At 49.6% G+C, this 17,983-nt stretch overlaps 1 non-coding gene across 1 annotated transcript; it reads right to left on the bottom strand.

Annotated features, from left to right (window-relative positions):
* Nucleotides 1-14,401: 14,401 nt before the first annotated feature.
* LOC124900433 (small Cajal body-specific RNA 18) lies at nucleotides 14,402-14,485 on the bottom strand. Its single transcript, XR_007067389.1, has one exon.
* Nucleotides 14,486-17,983: the final 3,498 nt, after the last annotated feature.

Below are 17,983 nucleotides of genomic sequence, written 5' to 3'. Positions count from 1 at the left end.
TTGGCACTAATGGCTCAGCCACTCGGTGATGAACTGCAGTTCCTGCATAACTCAGTCCTCCCACACTGAGAGGCATCCACAAAGGCCACTGGCTGCTTCGCACGCCCCCCCTTTCACTGTGCCCAGCCAACTCCTCATCCTGCAGGAGTCAGCTGAAAGCTCCCTCCCCACAAGAAGCTTCTCCAATGCTCCGCAGGCTGGGTTAGAGCCCCCGTCTAGGTCCTCATGTCATTCCTTCATCCCTCTATCCCCATACACAGTCATCCATTCATCTAACAAACACTTATGAGTGTTGAATATGGGCCAGGTTCTGAGCTAGGCCAGGAACACAACCCTGAGTAAGAGTAATCATAGCTGACACTCGTATTGCACTTACAGCGTGCCAAGCATCCCTCTTTTGTATCAGCTTGTTTCATCCTTTCCCCAACCCTAGGAGGGAGAAACTGTGATGATCCACATTTTACAGTTGGGAAAACTGAGGCCGAGGGAGCTTAAGTAATTTGCCTGAATTCTCACGGCTTAGCCAGGACTTGGACCCAGGTAGTGTGCTCCTATATCCGCTGCACCATTCCAGCTCCCAACAGGGAGGGAGACAGACGCGTCCCCACCCTCCAGAGCTCGCTGTCCTGGAGAAGACAATTATAGAACTAGGCAATTGCAGGCAATTACAGAATGAGGGGAGGGGACCCTGAGAGTACACAGAGGGGCTGCCTAGCCCAGGGGGCCAGAGAAGGCTTCCGAGGAAGTGATACCTACCCTAAGACCTGAAAGACAGCAATGTGGTTTTTAGAAAAATCGCTGTGGCTGTCTGTGTGGGATCAGACAGGAAATGGCAGGACTGGAGGCAGGGACAGCTTTTTGACTGGTCTGTCACCCCACAAGTCTCTCATTCATTCAACAGCTATTTACTGAACCCCTATTGTGGGGCCAGGCAGGTCTTAAGGGCAGTGAGCAAAGCAGAAAAAATCTTGCCCTCCTGGAACTTACCCTCCAGGGAGGGGAAATAGGCAAGAAACAAAATGAATAAATATCTCATACTATTTGACAATAACTGCTGGGGAGATGGGATGGGTTGCAATGTTAGACAGAAATACGGGAGGCCTCATAAAAAAGCTGGCATTTGGGAGGCTGAGGCAGGCGGATTACAAGGTCAGGAGATTGAGACCGTCCTGGCTAACACGGTGAAACCCCGTCTCTACTAAAAATACAAAAAATTAGCCGGGCGTGGTTGCAGGCGCCTGTAGTCCCAGCTACTCGGGAGGCTGAGGCAGGAGAATGGCCTGAACCCGGGAGGCAGAGCTTGCAGTGAGCCGAGATCGTGCCACTGCACTCCAGCCTGGGGGACAGAGCGAAACTCCATCTCAAAAAAAAAAAAAAGCTGGCATTTGTGGCCTGGTGCAGTGGCTCACATCTGTCATCTCAGCAATTTGGGAGGCCAAAGTGTGCAGATCACTTGAGGCCAAGAGTTCGAGACCAGCCTGGCCAACAAAGCAAGACCCCATCTCTACTAAAAATACAAAAACTAGCCCGGCGTGGTGGCGCACGCCTGTAATCCCAGCTACTTGGGAGGTTGAGACATGAGAATTGCTTGAAGCTGGGAGGTGGAGATTGCAGTGAGCCGAGATTACGCCACTACACTCCAGCCTGGGTGACAGAGCGAGTCTGCCTCAAAAAACAAAACAAAACAAAACAAAAAAAACTCTGGCATTTGTGTAAATTTCTGAGAAAGTGAGGGAGTGAGTGAAGAAGTATATTTCTAGGGGAAAATCGCTCCAGGCAAGAGGAACAGCCGGGCCACAGGTTCTGAGGCAGGAGTGTGCCTGCCACGTGATTGGTACGCTCTGACCTTGTTTTCACAGCACGACTCAGGCTGCAGGGAAGAGGCCGGCTGTAGGGTCAGGGACAGCAGCAGGGAGCCCTGCTGGGCCAGGCTGTAGTGCAAGTGAGCCACTGCGGTGGCTGGGACCAGGATGGCAGGGGTGGGATGAATAGAAGTAGTTGGATTCTGGGTATATTTTAAGCCAGGGCAAATTGACAGATTTGCTGATAGATTAGATGTGAGGTCCGGCCTGCACCACAGACAGGGTGGAGTTGTCATTAACTGAGATGGGGAAAACTGAGGGGAACAGTTTTAGGGAAGAAGATCAGAAGTCTGGTTCTCATATATCCTTCTTATCCCCAGCAATAATAAAATAAATGTCCAGGTTGGGCACAGTGGTTCACACCTGTGATCCTAGCATTTTGGGAGGCTTAGGCAGGAGGATCCCTTGAGCCCAAGAGTTTGAGACCAGCCTGGGCAACATAGCGAGTCTTTGTCTCTACAAAAAAAAAATTTTTTTTAACTGGAGCTGGTGGCTCATGCCTGTAATCCCAGCTGCTCGGGAGGATGAGGTAGGAGGATTGCTTGATCCCAGGAATTTTAGGCTGTAATGAGCTATGGGTGCCACTGCATTCTAGCCTGGGCACAAGAGGAAGACCCCATCTTTAAAAATATAAAACAAATATAAATAAATAAATAAGCCAGGCATGATGGCATGCACCTGTAGTCCCAGCTACTCAGGTAGCTAAGGTTGGAAGGTCAGCGGGAGGATCTCTTGAGCCCAGGAGTTTGAGATCAGCCTAGGCAACATAGCAAGTCTGTCTTTATTTATTTATTTTTTTAAAGATATATGTATCCAACAAATACTTGTTGAATGAGTGAAGGAATGGAGGGACGGACAAAGTTGAGATAGCTAGGAAGCCAAGCCCAGCTGGTTTGGGGTTTGGAGGAATACCTAATCCCGTTCTATTAATAGCTCTATGTGTCTCCCACCCCAGCCCTGGGGATGCTGGCTGGCTCCTGCCCATGCCCATATTTGTGCACACACATAAGCCTTCTCCTACCTTCATCCCTGTGGAGGAGGCTCTCAGGCCAGCTGGAATCTGGGCTTGTCTAGCCTGCGATTCACGTGGTTGCCCTGGGGCTTGGATGGAGGAAGAGAAGGCCAGGGCATCCTGGCAGGCAGGACTGAGGTCAGGGATCTGCCAGGGGCCTCCGTCGGGCTTTTCAGTGCTCAACAAAGCCACCAGGAGCCTCCATCCTATACCTGGGCTCTGATCAGTGGGACAGAAATGATCACTTTGGGCGACGGGAATGAGCCAGAGCAGGAAGGAGAGGACAGCACTGAGTGGGAGGAGAGGCCCTGGCCTCAGGTGCAATGAAGGAGGCTTCCTGGAGGAGGCAGAGGACTTGTTTCTTACAGGACAGGATTGAAGCAGGCCTTTGTGTGAATTTGAGGACACAGATGCCTCTGGAGGCATCGCAGAGCTCTGAGCACTGCAGCGTGTGTCATAGCTGCGGTGGTGTCACAGCTGCCTGGGGGCTGCCTGGGCATGGGGGTGCTTCCTGCCTGAAGCACCAGGTGTCATATTGGCTAGGATGCCCAGGCAGAAAATGGGGGCTAACAATACCGTGTTTCACCTGAAGTGTTTCCTCTCTGCACCCTGCTTGGCCTTCCTTCCCTCCCTCCCGCTTCAGGCTGGGCCTGAAATCTGCAGAAGGAATGGCCCTGGCCCTCAGAGGAAGGGACCCAGCACTATAGAATGCTGTGGTTAAGAGCACAGCTCAAGTGCTCTTAACAAGCCGTGTGTTCCTGTGAAGTTACTTCACCTCTCTGTGCTTCTGTTTCCTATCAGTAAAATGGGGATGCTAATAATAGCTCCTTCCCTAAAGGCTTACTGGGAAGGAGATTAAAGAAATGAGGTAGTGAGTGTGCAGCATTCAGCATACCACGCCTGGTGTGGAGCAGGCGCCTAGCAAATGGCATCCTTCTGTCCCTCCTCAGACCCAGGGAGTTGAGGTGACTTGCCCAAGGAGCGCCAAGGTATCCATCTGGGTGGATTGGGACCAAGACTTGGGCTTCCCCCTCCCTGTTTCTCTTGCTGCATCTCCACCTCCATTCAGGAAGAAAGAAGATACTTGGACTCCAGGAAATGATCACCGTGGAAACCCATCTGCTGCTTCTTGTCTACGGCTGTTTGTTCCTCCAGCTCTGGGCTGCCTGAGTGTCTCACAGCAGAATTAGCAAGTGCGGAGGCTGAAGGTTTCTAGAGGCTCTGAGGTCACAGCTCTCGCTTGAGTGCACATAACTATAAGCCATGGTGAGTCCCAAGACTCTGCAATATCAGTCAACTCCAGCAGACACTTCAGTCTGGCCCTGTAGACAACCCCCTAACCCCCGCCAGGATGCAGAGCAGTTCCTGGACCCCACAGGGTGCAGGGCCAGGCAAGCCATCCAGGGGACCTGGGGACGGGGGTTGGAGAAAGTAGGTTCTAGCCTCTGCTCCTCTTCTAGGCGTGGCTATGTGATCTTGGACAAGTCACACCCTTTTCCTGGGCCTTCATTTTCTTTTTTATTTATTTTTTAAATTTATTTTTCATTTTAAAATTTGTTTTAGAAACTGGGTCCTACTCTGTCACCCAGGCTGGAGCGCAGAGGTACAATCACAGCTCACAGCAGCCTCAAACTCCTGGGCTCAAGTGATCCTCTCACCTCGGCCTCTTATACCGGGACTATGGATGTGAGCCACCAGAACTGGTCCCGGGTTTTTCTTTTCTTTCTTTTTTTTTTTTTTTTTTTGAGACAAAGTCTCACTGTGTCGCCCAGGCTGGGGTGCAGTGGCGCGATCTCCACTCACTGCAACCTCTGCCTCCCAGGTTCAAATGATTCTCCCACCTCAGCCTCCTGAGTGGCTGGGATTACAGGCAACCACCACCATGCCTGGCTAATTTTTGTATTTTTAATAGAGACAGGGTTTTGCCATGTTGACCCGGCTGGTCTTGAACTCTCAACCTCAGGTGATCTACCCACCTCAGCCTCCCAAAGTGCTGGGATTACAGGCATGAGCCACCGCACCCAGCCTTGGGCTTTCATTTTCTTATCATCAACCTGAAGTGGTAGCAGAACTAGGCTTTTCAGAGCAAAAAGATTTGAAATTCTTACTCAGAAGTAATCCTGACAGAGCTTGGAAGGTCAATCCTTCCATTTCCCATCCTGTCAACACCACTTTGTTAAGGAAAATTTTGTAAAGCTTGGAAGTGAAGCAATGAGGAGCCTGTGTGGCCTTAATCCTCCCACTGGGGCATTGCGTAACAAGCCCTCAAGTGTTGTAGGACTCCCTAAAGGGAAGTAACTTTGTTTGACCTTTTTTTTTTTGGAGACAGGGTCTCGCTCTGTCACCCAGGCTGGAGTGCAGTTGTGTGATCATGGCTCACTGCAGCCTTGACCTCCCAGGCTCAAGTGATCCTCCCAACTCAACTTCCTGAGTAGCCAGGACTACAGGCCCACACCACCACACCTGGCTAATTTTTTTTTCTTTTTTAGAGATGAATTCTTTGTTGCCCAGGCTGGTCTCTAACACCTGGGCCCAAGCCATACTCCTGCCTCACCCTCCCAAAGTGTTGGGATTACAGGCATGAGCCACTGTGCCTGGCCTTGTTTGACTTTTTACTCCCTATGTACAAACTTTTTTCATTTTGTTTTGTTTTGTTTTGTTTTTGTTTTAGATGGAGTTTTGCTCTTGTCGCACAGGCTGGAGTGCAATGGCGCGATCTCGGCTCACTGCAACCTCTGCCTCCCAGATTCAAGCAATTCTCCTGCCTCAGCCTCCCAAGTAGCTGAGATTACAGGTGCCCACCATTACACCCGGCTAATTTTTGTATTTTTAGTAGAGACGGGGTTTCAACACATTGGCCAGGCTGGTCTTCAACTCCTGACCCCAAGTGATCCACCCACCTCGGCCTCCCAAATGCTGGGAATACAGGCGTCAGCCACCGCGCCCAGCCTGGCCCAAACATTTAATAAGTCTGAGAACTATGGTGCTAATGTATAGAAAACAGATTTTTGTCCAATAGTGATACAAATGACTTCTGACCAATAGGGATCACCCCTAAAGGTTCTAGTTCATGCACTATAGAGCATTCCCCAATTTGGAATCTAACTAGCAATCTTGTTCTGGCATTCCCTGTGCTTCCTCAACTCCCATCAGTGGGTTCTCTGAACCAGCTCTGTCATCCTGAGAGTTGCCTCATGAATAAGTGAAACAACAGAGACATGTGCTTACTGTGTATTTGTATGATTTTTTTTTTTTTTTTACATTTAGAGGATTATAATTTGGGAGCTCACTGAGGCTCATTTTCCTCTTCTGTAAAATAGGGAATTCAAGGGAGAAGTTGAATGTGTGTCAGGCACTACTGAGCTCTTTAGATCCAGAATTTCATTTAAGCCTCACAAGAAAACTGCCAGGGCAGATGGCTATTCCCCTGATTTTACAGATGAGGTTCAGAGAGGTGAAGTGATTGCCCCAAGGCCACACAGCCAGTGAGTAACAGGCTGGATTTGAGCCACTGCATCACAGGAGGCTAATTCCCTCCTCACAGGCTTACGGTGGGACTCATTGGATGAGATAAGGGTGGAAAAGTGCTTAGCAAACTGTACAGGTAGATACACAACTGATCATTATAGTCAATCCGAGCCCACCTTGCCTTACCTTTCTCCTCATGCCACCTTGCCTAAGACCAAGTCTACCTCTAATTAATGTTGTCCCAGACCCATATGGACTTCCACTGGGATGGCACCAGTTTCAAGAGGCTACAGAAGAGAAATGAAGCCAGAAAATGAGACATAGGATTTATTTGAGGAGGCTTACATACAGGATGGTCCCATGGTGGCAAGCTGGATGGGAGAACCACAACCGCTTGCAAAAAAAATGCAGTTTATACAGTACCCTCGGCCAGGCACAGTGGCTCATGCCTGTGCCAGCATTTTGGGAGGCCGAGGTGGGTGGATCATGAGGTCAGGAGTTTGAGACCAGCCTGGCCAACATGGTGAAACCTCATCTCTACTAAAAATACAAAAATTAGCTGGGTGGGTGGCAGGCGCCTGTAATCCCAGCTACTCTGGAGGCTGAGGCAGGAGAATCATTTGAACCTGGGAGGCAGAGGTTGCAGTGAGCCGAGATGGTGCCATTATACTCCAGCCTGGGTGACAGGGCAAGACTCTGTCTCAAAACAAACATATATATATATATATATATGGCATCCCCACATAGCACCCTCCCTCAGCATCCTTCATGTGGCAGCTCTTGTTTCTTCAGTTATTGCTGTCAGGTGCATCTACCATACACCAGCCACCCCTAAACACCACCCAGGGCCTCTCCCTCTGGGAGGTGGGTCTCTGCTTCCTCTAGAGTGAGTTTCTGTTATCCAGAGAAAGCCAGGGGGGATTAAGGTGACCAGGCATCCCTGGTCCATCCCCTCACACACAGGACCTTGTTCATACCTCAAGCTGCAGGTTGAGCTTTTAGTCCTGGCCACCTCTTTGGGGGCTGTATTCCTGGGACAGGGGTCTGGGGAACATCCCATATTCCTGGGACAGGGGTCTGGGGACAAGCCAAGTGAAGTAAATTTCAAACCCTGATTCTGAAGCCATTCTGTGCCATCCTCCTGAATGTCTCACCTGAATTGGACCTGTTTGAAGGCTACAGAAGCCGTGCCCAGCCTCCCTCAAGTTAGTTTCTGGACCCTTCTAGAGCAGCCCACGTCTGAACACCTCAGCTCTGGGTACCAAGGGGTTAATGCATGGAGCCAGCTTGGCAAATGTTTACCTAACAGGCAGGCTGCTGCCAACCCCAGGTAATTAACAGTCTGCTTTCCAAAGCCCAGACACGAAGATTTCTTTCTCCTCTCCTCCTTTCCCAGGGATGCCTCTTGGCAGAGTGAACACAGCTGTCTGTTGGCTCTTTGAGAAGATGCCCAGCAGAGGTGGGAGCTGAGGGCAGGGATCAGGCCTGGAGGGAAGCAGGCCCAGAGGTGGGCACCAAGGAGGAGATGGAGGGAGCTTTGTCCCATTTCTCTCTGAGTCTTGGCCCCATCTTGGAAACCTGGCCCCAGACTGCCATTCTTGAATATGTGATAATTACTGCTATAATTGGTGGAGCCCCTGCAAGGGGCTTACATACTTTGCCTCACTTAACTTTCACAACTACTAGAAGAGCGAGGCCCTCTTATCTCTGCTTTCAGATTAAGGAAGGGAGATGCAGGGTGATGAAATCACTTGTCCAGGCTGGGGGCAGTGGCTCACGCCTGTAATCCTGGCCCTTTGGGAGGCCAAGGCGGGTGAATCACGAGGTCAGGAGTTCGAGACCAGCCTGGCTAACATGGTGAAACCCTGTCTCTACTAAAAATACAAAAAATAATTAACCGGGCGTGGTGGCAGGCGCCTGTAATCCCAGCTACTCAGGAGGCTGAGGCAGGAGAATCGCTTGAACCCAGGAGGCGGAGGTTGCAGTGAGCAAAGATCACGCCACTGCATTCCAGCCTGGGTGACAAGAGTGAGACTCCATCTCAAAAAAAAAAGAAAGAAAGAAAGAAAGAAAGAAGTCACTTGTCTAGGGTCACCCAACCAGTGTGGGGTAAAGCCCATACTTGAACCACAGTCTACTTTCCCTTATGGAAGAAAAAGCAGTGGATTTGTTCAGTACCTACTATATACTGGACGCTATGTTGGACACTTTATGTTTACCTCTAATCCTGGAGGTGTCATTTCCTTAAATTGCTTTAATAAGCCATTAGCATCAGAAGAGTGAGATAGTCACTTGAGCCCAGGAGTTCAAGACCAACCTGGGCAACATAGTGAGACCCCCCCCCGCCCATTTCTTTTTCTCTCCTTTTTTTTTTTAGACGGAGTTTCTCTCTTGTTGCCCAGGCTAGAGTGCAATGGTGTGATCTCGGCTCACTGCAACCTCTGCCTCCCAGGTTCAAGCAATTCTCCTGCCTCAGCCTCTCGAGTAGCTGGGATTACAGGCATGCACCACCACGCTCAGCTAATTTTGTATTTTTAGTAGAGATGGGGTTTCTCCATGTTGAGGCTGGTCTCGAACTCCTGACCCTAAGTGATCCACCCGCCTTGGCCTCCCAAAGTGCTGGGATTACAGGCGTGAGCCACCACGCCCGGCCACAAGACGCCCCCTCATTTCTTAAAAAAAAAACAAAAACCTAGCCTGGCATGGTGGCACGTGCCTGTGGTCCCAGCTGCTTGAGGCTGAGGTGGCAGGATCACTTGAGCCCGGGAAGTTGAGGCTGCAGTCAGCTGTGATTGTACCCTTGCACTCCAGCATGAGTGACAGAGCTAAAAAAAAAAAAAAGAAGAGTGAGATAGTACAATTCATAAGTAGGGGAGGAAGCATAAATGTGCATCTCAGAAATAAGAATAGAATGAGCCTCAAGTTGCTTCTTGTAATCTGAAAGGCTCCTTGTTGGATGGTCATCAGCCTCATCTTCAAAGAAACCCTGAAACCAGCCTCGCTCCCACCTCCCCTGCCCTCACCCTAAGCTAAGCCGCCTTGCTCACCCGGGATCATTGCATTGGCTTCTGGTCCCTGCTTTCCTCTCGCCTCACTAAAGTACTTTCTCCTCCCAGCAGCCAGAGGATCTTGGTAAAATATAAGCCCACTCTCTCCTTGGCTTTGACACTGTATTAACCATTGTCTTTTTATTGCCTGTATTTTAATGCTCTGTCTCACTGGGGCCTGCCCTGGAAAGACTGCCCCTCCCAGAGCTAGCCAGTTCCTAGAGAGAGCAAGCCAAGGGCCCTTGAATATGCCTTTCAAGTGCAAAGCAACCAATCAAGAGCTCACACCCCATGCCACCTCCTCTACTGGGCTCTCACACTCAGGGCCACGATTCTCCGGCCCTCATCACCCCAGAGCCAGGTACCAGACTACTAGGGAAAGCCCCTATCCCCTGAGCTGACAGTGTTCAAACTAGAAAATGCTAAGCCTGCTTACCCTGCCTTGCCCGTTCCTTTCCAAGGAAGCTAGACAGAGTGGGAATGGGGTTTGGCTTCAGCTCACCCCCACTAGAGCATTCTTTCACACATTCTCACTGATCATAAAACCCATACCATTACCTCGCTGACACCATCCCCGCTAACGCCAAGGCTTTAGCCAAACAAAGAAAGTCGCCACTGCCGGGCACGGTGGCTCACGCCTGTAATCCCAGCACTTTGGGAGGCCGAGGTGGGAGGATCACGAGGTCAGGGGATCGAGACCATCCTGGCTAACATGGTGAAACCCCGTCTCTACTAAAAAAATTCAAAAAATTAGCCGGGCGTGGTGGCGGGCACCTATAGTCCCAGCTACGTGGGAGGCTGAGGCAGGAGAATGGCGTGAACCTGGGAGGCGGAGCTTGCAGTGAGCCGAGATCACGCCACTGCACTCCAGCCTGGGGCAACAGAACGAGACTCCGACTCAAAAAATAAAAATAAAAAAAGAAAGTCACCATTCTATATTGTAGAGTAACTGATTTACAGGTTTGTTGCTGCTGGTCAGACCACCACCAGATGGCCCATTACTCAAGAAAACCATCCAACCGGATGTGCTGACCTGCATCTCCTACCTCTCACATGCTTTGCCCAGCCCAGCCTGCATAACCTACCCACCATCATTTCCCATGCTTTGCCTAATAAAAAATCCCAGCCAGCTCTTTTCAGAGAGTCAGCCAGGGAATTCTCTCGCTCTCTTGTGCTGCCTCCCTTATGCTGAAGCATAAGCTCCAATGAAGTCTTGTCTGGTTAAACTCTTTTGGCCTCATGTCAATTTCTATTGCATTGGCAGCCCAACAACCTGTGGTTGGTATCAAAATCACACTAAAGGCTCTTGCCCACCCTTTCTCCCCTCTGCCACCTGACAGACCCTGGTGTTTCCTCATGTGTCTCCCATGCATAGCATGCCCCCTTTGGGATCTGTGAGTGTAACACACTTCTTTTTTTCTTTCTTTCTTTCTTTTTTTTTTTTTGAGACAGAGTCTGGCTCTGTCTCACCCAGGCTGGAGTGCAGTGGTGTGATCTCGGCTCACTGCAACCTCCGCCTCCCGGGTTCAAGTGATTCTCCTACCTCAGCCTCCTGAATAGCTAGGATTACAGGCGCCCACCACCATGCCCAGCAAATTTTTGTATTTTTAGTAGAGACGGAGTTTCACCATGTTGGCCAGGATGGTCTCAATCTCTTGACCTCGTGATCCACCCACCTCGGCCTCCCAAAGTGCTTGGATTATAGGTGCGAGCCACTGCGCCCTGCCACAAACTTCTTTTCAATAGTAGTCATCTCCTGATCTCCTGGCCTCACCATACCTAAACAATAATAAGCAATAATAATAATAATAATAATAATAATAATAATATTCATGCCTTCCATCATACTTAGAATAAAATCCAGACTTCTTTCCGCGGCCTAGAAGGCCCGCCAAGCGCTGGCCCCTCCCTCTCCTCCAGGCCCTCGCCTCTGCCCTCTCTTGCTCGGGGCTCCAGCCCCACTGCCTTCTTCCTGCCCTCACACCCAGCAGAGCCTCAGGGGCCTTCCTCTGCTGTTCCCTCTGCCTGGAATGTCTTCGCCCAGAGCTCAGCAGGGGTGGCCCCTTTCCCATGTCCAGGGCTCAGTTTATGGTCACCTTCTCAGCCAGGCCTTCCATGAACACTCACCATCAAGGAACAATAACAGCCAACACTTCCTGGATGTTTTCCATGGGCCAGACACTATTTTATGTGCTTTCTGTTTACTATTCACTCTTTGAATCCTCACAACCCTCTAAGGTAGATATTGTTATACTTTCTATTTTGCAGATGAGGAAACTGAGGCTTAGAGAGGTTAAATGACATGACCAAAGTGTCAACAGCTAACAGGCAGGAAAGCCAGGACTCAAATCCGGCAGCCTGTTTCCAGAGTCCACGCTTGGAACCACGGAGCTGTATTTCTTAACAAAGAGTAAGCATACAATAAATACTAGCATATTGTTGTTTTATCAGAGACTATGTTTCACCCACCAATTTTCTTTCTCTTTTTTTTTAAAAATAGTATCTTGACTGTAGGACCCTAAAAGCAGGAGCCTGATGACTTTTTATTTATTTATTAATTTTGAGACGGAGTTTCACTCTTGTCGCCCAGGCTGGGGTGCAGAGGCACAATCTTGGCTCACTGCAACCTCTACCTCCTGGGTTCAAGCGATTCTCCTGCCTCAGCCTCCCAAGTAGCTGGGATTATAGGCATGCACCACGACACTCAGATAATTTTGTATTTTTAGTAGAGATGGGGTTTCACCGTGTTGGCCAGGCTGCTCTCGAACTCCTGACCTCAGGTGATCAAGTCTCCTTGGCCTCCCAAAGTGCTGAGATTACAGGTATAAGCCACCACATGTGGCCAACATTATTTTTTATATTATTATTAGTATTAGTATTAGTATTAGTATTATTTTGAGACAGAATCTCACTCTGTTGCCCAGGCTGGAGTGCAGTGGCGCAATCTTGGCTCACTGCAACCTCCACCTCCCGAGTAACTGGGACTACAGGCGCTCACCACCATACCCAGCTAATTTTTGTATTTTTAGTAGAGATGGGGTTTTGCAATGTTGGTCAGAGTAGTCTTGAACTCCTGACCTCAGGTGATCTGCTCGCCTCGCCTCCCAAAATGCTGGGATTACAGGCGTGAGCCACCGCTCTCAGCCCCATTATTTTTTAATGTAGAGGCTGGGTCTCACTCTGTTGCCCAGGCTGGAGTACCATAGCTATTCATAGATGTGATCATAGCTCACTCATCCTTGACCTCCTGGGCTGAAGCGATCCTCCCACCTCAGCCTCTTGAGTAGCCAGGATTAGAGGCACGGGCTGCCACCCTCTCCCCAATTTTCTTTCATTGAGTTTGAATCCCTTCACACAAGTCATTCACTGTCTAGTTTGTCCCTCCTGCTCCCTATTGTCTTAGGCCAATTTAACTGACTTGGTTGAACCTTGAAGGCATTTATACCTCTTACTCAGCCCCTCATTCTTTTGTTGTTGTCGTTGTTGTTGTTGTTTTTGAGGCAGACTTTTGCTCTGTCACCAAGGCTGGAGTGCAATGGAGCAATCATGGCTCACTGCAGCCTCCACCTTCTGGGCTCAAGCGATCCTCCCCCCTCAGCTTCCTGAGTAGCTGGGACTGTAGGCACGCACCACCACACCTGGCTAATTTTTTTTTTTTTTTTTTTTTTTTCAGTTTTGTAGAGCCGGGCTTTGTGGCTCATGCCTGTAATCCCAGTGCTTGGGAGGCTGAGGTGGGCGGATCACTTGAGGTCAGAAGTTTGAGACCAGCCTGGCCAACATGGTGAAACCCTGTCTCCACTAAAAATACAAAAATTATCCCGCTGTGGTGTGGTGGTGCATGCCTGTAGTCCCAGCTACTCAAGAGGCTGAGGCAGGAGAATCACTTGAACCCAGGAGGCCATTGCATTCCAGTCTGGACAACAGAGTGAGACTCTGTTTCAAAAAAAATTTTCTGTAGAGACATGGTGTCGCCATGTTACCTGGGCTGGCCCCTCATCTTTTAACCAATACCCACCGTGTCAGGTGCTGTGCTAGGCCTTATTCAGAAATGAATAAGAAGGTACTCTCACCCTCCAGGAGCCCACGGTCACATGCGGAGGCAGACCTGCACTCTGGTCACTTCATTGCAGGGTTATGTGTACTGTCCTGGGGATGCCAACAAGTGTTAGAGAAGCACCTGGGAGTACAGAGCAATCAGCCAAGGAGGACATCCCAGAGAAAGTGACATCTCACTGGGTTTGAAGGAGGAGACAGGAAGCAGACAGGGAGAAGGGCAGCACAAACAAATGCACGAAAGGGGCTGAGCGCATGGGTGTCTAGGGACCGGCTGATCACGTTAGGTGTGAAATGTGTCTAGGGACCGGCTGATCACGTTAGGTGTGAAATGTGTTTAGGGACCGGCTGGTCACGTTGGGTGTGAAATGCATGGAGGTGGCTGAGCGCACGTGTCAAGGGACCAGCTGGTCACGTTGGGTATGAAATGCGTGGAGGTGGCTGAGCGCATGTGTGTCGAGGGACCGGCTGGTCACGTTGGATGTGAAGGGGGTGTGAATCTGCCTGGCTGAGGGAAATTGATCCAGATCTTGAAGGGCTTCTGTAAGGCCTGCAACTTCTGTTGTGGAGGCGCAAGCAATCCCAGAGGGATTTTATTTTATTTTATTTTTTCTTATCTTATTTTGCCTGGCCTCAGTTCATTCTTTTTATTATTTATTTATTTATTTATTTATTTTTGAGACAGAATCTCACTCTGTCGCCCAGGCTAGAGTGCAATGGCGCAATCTCGGCTCACTGCAAGCTCCGCCTCCCGGGTTCAAGCGATTTCTCCTGCCTCAGCCTCCCGAGTAGCTGGGATTACAGGTAGGTGCCAACATGCCGGACTAATTTTTTTGTATTTTTAGTAGAGATGGGGTTTCAGCACGTTGGCCAGGCTGGTCTCCAACTCCTGATCTCAGGTGATCCACCCGCCTCAGCCTCCCAAAGTGCTGGGATTACAGGCATGAGCCACTGCACCCGGCCCTCAGTCCATTCTTGGAACACACTCCATCACCTGGTTCCCAGAACTCAGACTGCACTAATGGTGACTTCATCACTGGCCAGGGCTCACAGTTATTGCAGCAGAGGCCTCTCTATACCTCCCTCCCCTCCAGCCTTGCCCACTGCCCCTCACCACTCCTGCCCCCACCCTGGGTCCCCTGACCCCACCTTACCTGCCATGTTTGTATAATTTTCTTAGGCTCACAGCAGGCATTGCCGCCTACAATGGGATCTGATCATGGAAGGAAAACACTCCCCTGGGGACCTAAGAACACCCTACCCTACTACACATGCTGCACCCCATCTGCTGCCAACCTCTCTGCCCTGCCCCTGTACCCAAAACCAGTGCTATGTCAGGCTAAGCAGTATCCCTAGAAATTTTAAGCAGAGATTGGCACGATATTGCTGGCAAGGTTTCCACCCCCACTCCCATTGCAACCCCATCCAATTTCTCCAAAACTACTGAGAACTTGGTGCTCACCAAATCATCTCATGTTCTGCAGGCTGGCAACCCTTTACCAGGCATTTGATAGACTTGATGATAACAATGCTGGGAGCCAGGAAGAGAACATTAAGAGCAGGAATTCAGCCCTGCCTTGGCCTCTAGGCATCCCCGAACTGGCCCAGTTTCCAAGAATCATTTTTGATGAGAGATTCTGGGAAGCAGGACATTGTTGAGGCCAAGTAAACTCCCAAAGGCCTGGAAGGAGCCAGAAAGCAGAAAGGGTAATGCTTCCCCCTCCCAGGTAGGAGTGAGCAGGATGACCAGCTCTTTTCCTTGCAGGAAGCCCCCTCAGCCTGGCCTCCTTCTGGGCTCCGTAGTCCCTTCTCCACCTAGCTAGGGCTCTGGCAGCTGCCTTGGCAGATGCCCCCCATCTCTACACTTAGGCTTGGCAGACAGGGAATGTGAGAGCAGCCTCAGAAAACCCAGTTCCCATCCCTTCCCTCCAGCCAGGCATCAAGGTATGGTGGCAGAACAGGGAAATCTGAGTTTAATCCTGGTTTTGCCAGCCATTAACTGTAAGACCTTGGGTAAGTCACCTGGCCTTTGCGTACCTTGGTTTCCGAACCTGCAAACTGAGGGTGGAGCTACTGACCTCTCAGAATCATTGTGCAAACTGAATGAGCTCAGATGTGCCGAGCACTTGGCACAAACATGTTCCTTCCCAGGGCTGGACACTGGCATTTGGCATTCTTTGGGTGGAGTGGGGCCAGGGTGGTTATTGTCTGGACCACACAGATTCAACCCATATTTTGGCAGAAAAGACAGCATTTGCAAAGATATGCAGGGGTGACAGGGCATGGCAGGGTTGGAGAACGTTATGTTCCCAAGCAGTTTGCTGTCCCTGGAGCAAGGGGTGACCAAGAATGAGGAGGTGGGAGATAAGTCAAAAAAGATCAGCTAGGGTCAGGATGTGAAGGGCCTTGAGCCAGACTAAAAAGCTTAGGCTCCAAATGTACCCCTTAAACTTAAAAGTTGGAAAGAAAAAACTATTCCATATATATATATATATATATATATATATATATATATATATATATATGTATATATATATAAAATAAAATAAAAGGCTTAGCTCCATCTCAGGCTTACTGTCATGGGGTGCAGCAGTGAGGATTGTGAAATGTGATCCAGGCAGACCTGGCTGCACATTTCAGTTCTGCCACTAGGTTGGGTGGCCTTGGGCAAGTCACTTAGTCTTAGCTTGAGTTCTCCCATCAGCAGATCCTGAGACTCAGGTGCTGGAACTAAATTGTGGAGGTAATTTCAGGAAGCAGAAGAAGGGCATGGAGAAAGTAAGACCGGGAAGAGAAAAGGTAATAAAGGGTGCGTGAATGTGCGGGTTGCTGCCAGGAGCACCTGGGCGCAGTTCTGCTGGAGACCTTCTGAGAGACAGTGTGAAATCATCCTATTTGATGGGGAGATCGCTTGAGCCCAGGAGTTTGAGGCTGCAGTGAGCAATATTTGTGCCACTGCACTCCAGCCTGGGCGACAGAGCCAGACCCTGTTTCTTAATTTAAAGGGAAAGGAAGGGTGGGGAAGGGAGGGGAGGGAAGGGGAGGGGAGGGAAGCGGAGGGGAGGGGAAGGAAGGGGAAGAAGAAGGGGAAGTGGAAAAAAAAGAGAGAGAGAAAGAAAGAAGAAAGAAAGAGAAAGAAAGGAAGGAGAGGAAAGAAAGAAAGAAAAAGAAAAGACTCTCCTATGTGAAGATGAGGAGGTTGGGCATTTAGGCACCAACTCTCTTGATGGTTGAAGGTTGCCCTTGGGATACATAACACGCCTGTTCCTCCTGGTTCATAGATACTTAAGAAAGCTCTCAGGCAAGGAAGCCAAGAGAAGCAGGCTCTTGTGTGGTGGAGCCCTGAGCATGCTGAAAACTACCACACTGGCAAGGGAACTCAGAGAAGGGATGAGGGGCTATGAGGCAGGTGTCAACACTGTCCGCTGTTACCTCTTTGAGCCTCTGTTTTCTCATCTGAAAAATGGAAAAGACATGACATACTTCACAGGAAGATTAAATGTAAAGTATTTGAAAGTTACCTAATGACATGGCTGACACATAGGAGATAATCAATAAATGGTAGGTATGCTTGGGCTCAGCTCAGATGCCAGCTCCTCAGAGAATCCTTCCCTCCCACCCTATTGAGAGTAGCTCACTCCCTTCATTCTCCACCAAAGCAGTATCCTACTTCCTGTGAAGCATTTAACATAGTATATAATTATCTTGGTTATGTGTTTGTTTGGAGTTTTGTTTTTGTTTTTGCTTTAGAGACAAGGTCTCACTCTGTCACCCAGGCTGCAATGCGGTGTCGCAATCGTAGCTCACTGCAGCTTCAAACTCCTAGGCTCAAATTGTCCTCCCACTTCAGCCTTGTAGTAATTAGGACTACAGGCATGCACTACCACGCCCAGCTATTTTCTTTTTTAATTTTTTATAAGGCAGGGTCTCACTATGTTGCCCAGGCCAGTCTCAAACTCCAGGCCTCAAGTGATCCACCTGCCTCAGCTTCTCAAAGTGCTGGGATTACAGGCGTGAGCCACCACGCTCCACCTGTTTGTTTGTTTAACTCTGTCTCTCCTCACTAGAATGAAAGCACCGTGTGAGCAGGGAATTGGTCCCTCTTATTCACTGCTTTATATGCAGTGCCAAGCATAATGCCTGGGACATACTAAGTGCTCAATACTTTTTTTTTTTTTTTTGAGACAGGGTCTCACTCTGTCGCCCAGGCTGGAGTGCAGTGACGCGACCTTGGCTTACTGCAACCTCCGCCTCCCAGGTTCAAGCAATTCTCCTGCCTTAACCTCCCTAGTAGCTGGGATTACAGGTGCCCACCACCGTGCCTGGCTAATTTTTGTGTTTTTAGTAGAGACGGGGTTTCGTCATGTTGGCCAGGCTGGCCTTGAAATCCTGACTTCAAGTGATCTGCCCGCCTCGGCCTCCCAAAGTGCTGGGATTACAGGCATGAACCACCGCACCTGGCCTCAATACATATTTTTTGAATGGAAGAATGATTACAGTAGCAAAGTAAGGAAGGACAATTCCTGTTCTTGACCTTTGTT

This window comes from Homo sapiens, chromosome 1 (assembly GCF_000001405.40).
Source record: "Homo sapiens chromosome 1, GRCh38.p14 Primary Assembly".
Lineage (NCBI taxonomy): Eukaryota > Metazoa > Chordata > Mammalia > Primates > Hominidae > Homo > Homo sapiens.
This window is presented reverse-complemented; position numbering and strand designations above follow the sequence as displayed.